Source organism: Homo sapiens, chromosome 10 (genome assembly GCF_000001405.40).
Source record: "Homo sapiens chromosome 10, GRCh38.p14 Primary Assembly".
Taxonomy (NCBI): domain Eukaryota; kingdom Metazoa; phylum Chordata; class Mammalia; order Primates; family Hominidae; genus Homo; species Homo sapiens.
The window spans coordinates 12,846,024-12,853,464 of NC_000010.11; the positions used below are offsets into that span (position 1 = coordinate 12,846,024).

General features: G+C 47.7%; 1 annotated feature.

Annotated features, from left to right (window-relative positions):
- Window positions 3,134–3,633: an enhancer, noted in NCBI's record as "H3K4me1 hESC enhancer chr10:12891157-12891656 (GRCh37/hg19 assembly coordinates)". NCBI's record gives its function as "activates a minimal SCP1, AML or CMV promoter by ChIP-STARR-seq in naive H9 embryonic stem cells {active_cell/tissue: H9 hESC(naive)}" and the evidence as "EXISTENCE:reporter gene assay evidence [ECO:0000049][PMID:30033119]".

The following is a 7,441-nucleotide window of genomic DNA, read 5'->3' on the forward strand; positions in this document are numbered from 1 at the left end:
CCCAGGCTGGAGTGTAGTGGTGCAATTATAGATCACTGTAGCCTCGAACTCCTGGGCTCAAGTGATTCTCCCATCTCAGCCTCCCTCATAACTGAGAATACAGTTGTGCATCGCCACACCAGCTACCTTCTTGGGTTTTGTGCTGTTGTAATGGAAAAAGTCATAACGCAAAAATACATATATCTAAATGAAAGAAGTCTATTTTGGAGGTGCTTTTCATTAGGGACATGAGCATATGCAAATTGGAAACTGACAAGGTTGAAGGTAGGGATTTCACAGGTGCTTCCTTCCTTCTCTCCCATCTCCTCCATCTCCTCCTCCTACCCTTCCTGCCAAGGATCTTTGTACCCCTCTAAATCGTGTTACATAAACAAGTAACTGTGACCCATGTTCAAACAGTTCCTCCAAAGACCCTATTTCTCTGTAACACAATGAGTTAATGTTTATATTTAACTCTTAATAAAGACCTAAATTTTTTGAAAACTCATAAATGAATGGAAAATATATACCAGTGTCTTTGTTTTGGTTAGGCAGTCTTAGGAGCTTGGAGCTTCAGACCGCTAGAGCCATGGTTCTCAAATTCTTGATGAATATGGCCCCTTTCCATGGAACACAGCATCTTAGTGATTGGAACTAACAAAAGACACTGCAAAAAGTTTTCAAAATGAATTATTAAAGTGCATCTGTATCTCTGTAATAATTGAGTAATAGTAATACATGCATGTGATATATTTCTGTGTTTCTTTCAATTTTTTTTTTAGAGATGGGGTCTTGCTATGTTGCCCAGGCTCGTCTTGAACTTCTGGACTCAAGCTATCTTCCTGCCTCTGTCTCCCAAGAGGCTGGGATTACAGGCACATGCCACTGTGTCTGGCTTGTATGTGATATATTTCATCAATCCTCAGATAAGACTTGGGATACTTAGGGATTAGGCAACCCTGGCAACCACTCCACAACCCTAGACCATAACCAAGATGCCTTGAAGACACTCCCCTAGTGGGAGGGAAAGGACTTAGGAATGAATATCCAGACCTCTTAGTGATTGTTTTGAAAACTCAAACCTATTACTTGGTGACCAACCTTATACTAACCTAAGAGCCATATGCTAAGGCAGGCATGGTGAAATTGTCAATCTTTTTCTAGCTCCAGTCTGCATGACGATTGATGCTTGTGACCTCCTAGGGCAAAAAGTGAAATGAGGAGAGAAAATGAAGAGATGCAGATAAAATGCTTACACAGTAAAAGACCCATCTGCGGGGTAACTGAGGCGCAAGGATGTCCGCTAGTGCAGTGCTTCTAAACTTAAACCTACATGGAAAATACCTGTGTATCTTGATAAAATGCAGATTATGACTCAACAGATCTGGGCTGGGGCCTGACATTCTGCATTTCTAGAAGCTCCCAGGAGATGCAGACGCTGCTAGTCCAAGACCATATGCCCTGAGTAAGGAGGCCCTATCCCGTGTGCATTCTCAACTGGGAGTCCAGTCTTCCTTGAGCCTGTCTCCTTTTGCTGACAGCAACCAACGGGTGTGAGATCTAAGCAGAGGCTGGCTTTGGTGAGCTACAGGGAGTAGCTAATGATCAGATTAGCTGCCCAGCCAGATAGCAGCACCTCAGTGTCACTTCCAGCCTAATGTCATGGCACCTTTGGGTTAAGTTTCTTTCAGTCTCATCCTCTCTGGGGACGGACGGAGCAGTCAAGCCAAGGAGGAGCGGTTCTCGTGGGTCCCACAGCGCCCCCCGCTGGCAGGAGGACACTCCAACGGGAGACCAGTCTTAGGGTAGAGGCGCAGCTGAGTTTCTGGCTGAAGATGAGGGCTGGAAGCAGGTGAAGCCAGGGAAGCAGCCCCTCGGCATGGGCTGTTGGCACCTAGCACGCCCACTGAGGCTCCTCATGGAACGGAAGTCCCTCTGTGACTGGAGCTACCAGTGTCACAGCTGTAGCAGGGACAAGCGGCTCAGGAGTGCCCAGTAGGGCTGGTTCCAGCAGAATCTGCACCTGTAAGGTAAGACCGGGTGGCCATTTCTTTCAGGCCACCATGGCTTCTCCCCATCATCTGGTTTGAGGAAATCTAATTTCTGTGATTCCAAGGTGATCTCCTGGCCCCTACTAACTTCTATTGTCTTAAAAAGACAGGCGGGCGCAGTGGCTCACACCTGTAATCCCAGCCCTTTGGGAGGCTGAGGTGGGCAGATCACTTGAGGTCAGGAGTTCGAGACCAGCCTGGCCAACATGGCGAAACCCCGTTTCTACTGAAAATACAAAAATTAGCTGGGTGTGGTGGCGGGCATCTATAATCCCAGCTACTTGGGAGGCTGAGGCAGGAGGATCACTTGAACCCAGGAGATGGAGGTTGCAGTGAGCCAGACCGCGCTGCTGCACTCCAGCCTGGGCAACAGAGCAAGACTCTGCCTCAAAAAAAAAAAAAAAAAGAGAGAGAAAGATGAGTCTATTCTCTGGCAGGGCCTCCCTTTAGTAGTGATCCCCTCCACTGCAGGGGGGAAGACTGTAGACATTAACCTTGGTTAGATCAGAGCAAGACACCCCCACACCCCAGAGACAAAGGGGTGTGAACCAGTCTTTCTTAGGGGAAATGAGATGGTTTTGAAAGTTTCCTAAAATAGCTGTGAATTAGCTTGTGATGCTCTTAAAAGCGTCCTCCCACAGATTCCCACGTGGAGCGAATGTGCTAGGGAATCATTTCAGGTTAATTTCCCTGTTCAGGAAGAACAGGTGTTCTCTTGTCCCCTTCTCACCCTGGCTGTTTGGCTACAAATCTAAATAGTGGAGTGGGAATGGGAGGGGCACGGCAGCAGGGACCGTGACAATTTTGCCCACCATCATCGTGTCCCCCACGTACAGGTCAGCATTGGGTAACTATTTTTTGGATGAATTACTGAGTCAGGGGATGGAATGGTGGCAGCGGCTCTTACCCGGCCGGCCTCTGCCAGTCCCAGATCATGGATGAAGACAGCTGATCCCCCCCAATGCCGCTCACCTCTGGGCACTTCTTTCCAAAGCCCAGGTGTGTGGGTGCTGGCTGTCCCAGCTGCAGCTCCTGTTCCCTTTGTCTAAGCTCTGCTCCCCTGCTGACCACTCAAGGCCTTAAACTTGAAAAGGTCTTGGTTCTGAGCTGAGCCTCCCATCCTAGCATTGAAGAGCCACAGTGGCTTCTGGGAAATGGCTGGAACCCACTTAGCACCACCGGGGACAGGATTCTGCCAGCCTGTCCTGGACCTTGCCTGAGCATCAGTGAAGCCCACCCCACACCAGGACAGACCAGTCTTGAGGTTTGGCCATGCCTGGCCACTAGCAGTCTTTATAACCGCTTCAAGGGGCAGAGTTCCAAGTCGATTTAATCAGAAAGACTTGCAGATGTTTCCTTTCAGCCGGCTGATTGTGTGCATTCAGGATGCCTAGCAGAACGCCGGGGGCTTTGGGGACCCAATTAAGAACACGCAGGGTTTGGGGGGATCCGGTGTCTTCATCCGGGATCTGGGACTGACAGGGGCTGCTGGTTAAGAGCCGCTGCCCCTGTTCCATTCACTGGCTCAGTAATTCCTCCAAGAGATAGTTAGCTAGTGCTGACCTGCACACCGGGGACATGATGGTGGTGAGCAAGGGGGAGGGCGAGCTGGAACAGAGGCTGTGCGGGCAAGGAGAGGCGTGGGAGAGGAGGCACTTCCTGCCAACCTCTCGAGACTTGTTGGTGATTTTGAGGCCCTGAGGAGGGTCTATTCCTCTGAGAATGAAACGCAGTAATGAAAAGCCGTGAATCAGGACCTGGCTCCAGGAGGGATGTGTTCTGGCAGATCTCTCAGGCCTGAGCGGCGGGCTGGTGAGAGCAGAAAGAGAAGCTGTTCATGGTTATCACAGAAAGCCATCTAGCACACATTCTCCCCACCGTGCCTCGCCCATCCCTCCCTCCCTCCTTCCCCCCATGCTTCCTGGTGGGAATTCATCTTTGCTCTGGAACCCTGTGCTGAGCTGAGCTCAGGCATGAAACTCACATTCAACCTGCCAGATGCTGTGTTTATTCTGGCACCAACCATGAGCTCAGGGAGCCTCCTTGTCTGCTTCTCTGTGGCCCAAACACCTGCCAGCTACATGGCTATGTGAAGGCAAACCTGAAGCTAAGGCCCACAGCCCTGTGGCAGGGTTAGCAAGGTGGCCCAGCAGCCAGCCTACCTGTGCGCTACTTCCCATCTGCTCCCAGTTCGGGAGGGAGGAGAGGTGGTGAGGGGAGGACCCTTCTCATTTCTTGTTTTAACTCCTCCAATTTGGCTGAGTCTTCTCAAGGGCTTAGCTCAGTGGTATCAGCCTTGGCTGCACACTGGAATCGCCTGTGTGGTCCCCTGGTTCTGATTGTATCTGTCTGGGTGCGCCCTGGACATTGGAATATCTAAGCTTCTGCAGGTGATTCTAATGTACAGCAAAAATGGATACCACTGGTCACTGAAGTATTTATACATCTGACGAGGACTAAATAGCCTGACCCTAGAGCGCCCACCTTCCTCATCTGGCTTATTCAAAGCGGGAATGACCTGGAGAAGAAAGATTTAATTAGGATGTTTCTGTCTATGGCTCTGCAGAAACTGTCTTTGTTTTTTCTCCATGTTCTTTAAGGGAAAATCCACCTGCTGATTGCTGTCTTCTAAGCAGGGAATTTTATTTTAAATTATAAAACAAAATTTATCTGGCCGGGCGCGGTGGCTCACGCCTGTAATCCCAACACTTTGGGAGGCCAAGGCGGGTGGGTCACGAGGTCAGGAGATCGAGACCATCCTGGCTAACACGGTGAAACCCCGTCTCTACTAAAAATACAAAAAAAAAATTAGCCGGGCGTGGTGGTGGGCGCCTGTAGTACCAGTTACTCGGGAGGCTGAGGCCGGAGAATGGTGTGAACCTGGGAGGCGGAGCTTGCAGTGAGCCGAGATCGCACCACTGCACTCTAGCCTGGGTGACAGAGCGTGACTCCATCTCAAAAAAAAAAAAAAAAAATTATTTTAATTAACTTTAAAATATAGAATGATAGAATTGAGAATATGTTGAAAAACTAGCCACTCCTGATTTCTTTCTTTTTTAAATTGTTATTTTTATTTTACATTCAAGGGGGTACATGTGTAGGTTTGTTACAAGGGTAAATTGTGTGATACTGAGGTTCTGTTGATCCCGTCACCCAGGTGGCAAACACTGTACCCGGTAGGAGATTTTTCAGCCCTGACCTCCCTCTCTCCTTTTGAAGTCCCTAGTATCTGCTGTTCCCATCTTTATGTCCACATGTACCCAAGATTTAGCTCCTACTTAAAAGTGAGAACATGCAGTGTTTGGTTTTCTGTTCGTGTGTTAATTTGTTTAGGATAATGGCCTTCAGCTGCATCCATGTTGCCGCAAAGGGCATGATTTCATTCTTTCTTATGGCTGCGTAGTATTCCATGGTGTATATATACCACACTTCCTCTATCCAGTCTACCATTGATGGACACCTAGGTTGATTCCATGTCTTTGTTGCTATTGTGAATAGTTGAGCAGGGAATTTTAAAACACTGTTGACAGAAATTATGTATCCCAGATAGGGTTGTCAGATAACTAATACAGGGTGCCAAGTTAAATATGATTTGAAAATAATCAATGAAATTTTTTAGCATATCCCATGCAATATGTGGGATATACTTATACTAAAACATTATTTAAATTTAACTAGGCATTCTATATTTTTATTTGATAAATCTGGTGACTGTAATAGATATGTTAATCAGAATAATATTATTTTGTTACATGTGACAAAAACCCTACTCAAACTCAAAGTGGAGAAAATAAATTTATTGGTTTACATCACTGAAAAGTCCATGTATTTAGGCTGTATTTAGATGTATCCAGGGATCTCTCTTCATCTCTTAGTTCTTCTTTTCGCCATCCAGGTCTTTCCAAATATACGGCAAGAAGGCCTCTAGTGGCTCAGGCCACAAGGCTCTAAGGGCTTATGACCCCAGTAGAAGAGAGAAAATCTCTCCTACAAAAACAGGGAAGACTGGTTTTTCTGGCTTGAGTCACATGTCTACTCCTGAACCACTGTGCCCAAGGAAATTGGGTACAGTAGATCTCCCATATCCATGGATTCCGCATCCCTGAATTCAACCAACTGCTGATTGAACATATTTGGGGGAGAGCTGGGTGCGGTGGCTCACGCCTGTAATCTCAGCACTTTGGGAGGCCAAGGCGGGCGGATCACCTGAGGTCAGGAGTTCGAGACCAGCCTGGCTAACATGGTGAAACCCCATTTCTGCTAAAAATACAAAAAGCTTAGCCAGGCATGGTGGTGTGCGCCTGTAATCCCAGCTACTTGGGAGGCTGAGGCAGAAGAATGGCATGAACCCAGGAGGCGGAGGTTGCAGTGAGCCGTTATCACACCATTGCACTCTAGCTTGGGCAACAAGAGCGAAACTCCATCTCAAAAAAAAACAAATTAAAATATTTGGGGGGGAAGGAATTCCACAAAGTTCCAAAAAGCAAAACTTGAATTTGTACACACTGAGTACTACATTGAATCCATGTGAATGAAGAGATGTGTAGGCATTGTATTAGGTATTGTAAGTAATCTAGAGATGATTTAAGGCATACAGGAGTATGTGTGTAGGTTATATGCAAATACTATGTCATCTTACATCAGAGACTTGAGTATCCTTGAATTTTGGTGTCTGTGGTGGGGAGGGGGTGGGACCTGGAACCAATCCCCAGATCACATAGTCAGCATTGTAATAGACCAGGGTGTGGGTGGTTTTCTAAGGGAAAGAATTTTGAGCAACATATGTCTACTACATCCTACAGAAGAAGAGGAGATGCTCTTCTTACTCATCTCAAACATGTGCACAAGTATTGCCTAAGAAAAGGAAAATCTAAATTAGGAACATCTGTGAGATCAGAGTGTGTGGCTCCCCAGGGGAGTCTATAATGGACCTGCGTGGTTTCTCAGTTCTTCTAGCAGGAGAGCACCCAACACCTCACCCAGCTGCTGACCCAGTGAAGTCGTCTGCATGTAGAAGTCTTTTTTTGAGATGGAGTTTTGCTCTTGTTGCCCTGGCTGGAGTGCAATGGCACCATCTCGGTTCACTGCAACCTCCACCTCCCAGGTTCAAGCAATTCTTTTGCCTCAGCCTCCCAAGTAGCTGGGATCACAGGCACCCGCCACCACACCAGGCTAATCTTGTATTTTTAGTAGAGACAGAGGTGCACCATGTTGGTCTTGAACTCCTGACCTCAGGTGATCTGCCTACATCGGCCTCCCAAAGTGCTATAATTACAGGCATGAGCCACCGCACCTGGCCACAACTTTTTTTTTTGACGGAGTCTCGCTCTTTCACCCAGGCTGGAGTGCAGTGGCGCTATCTCAGCTCACTGCAAGCTCCGACTCCCGGATTCATGCCATTCTCCTGCCTC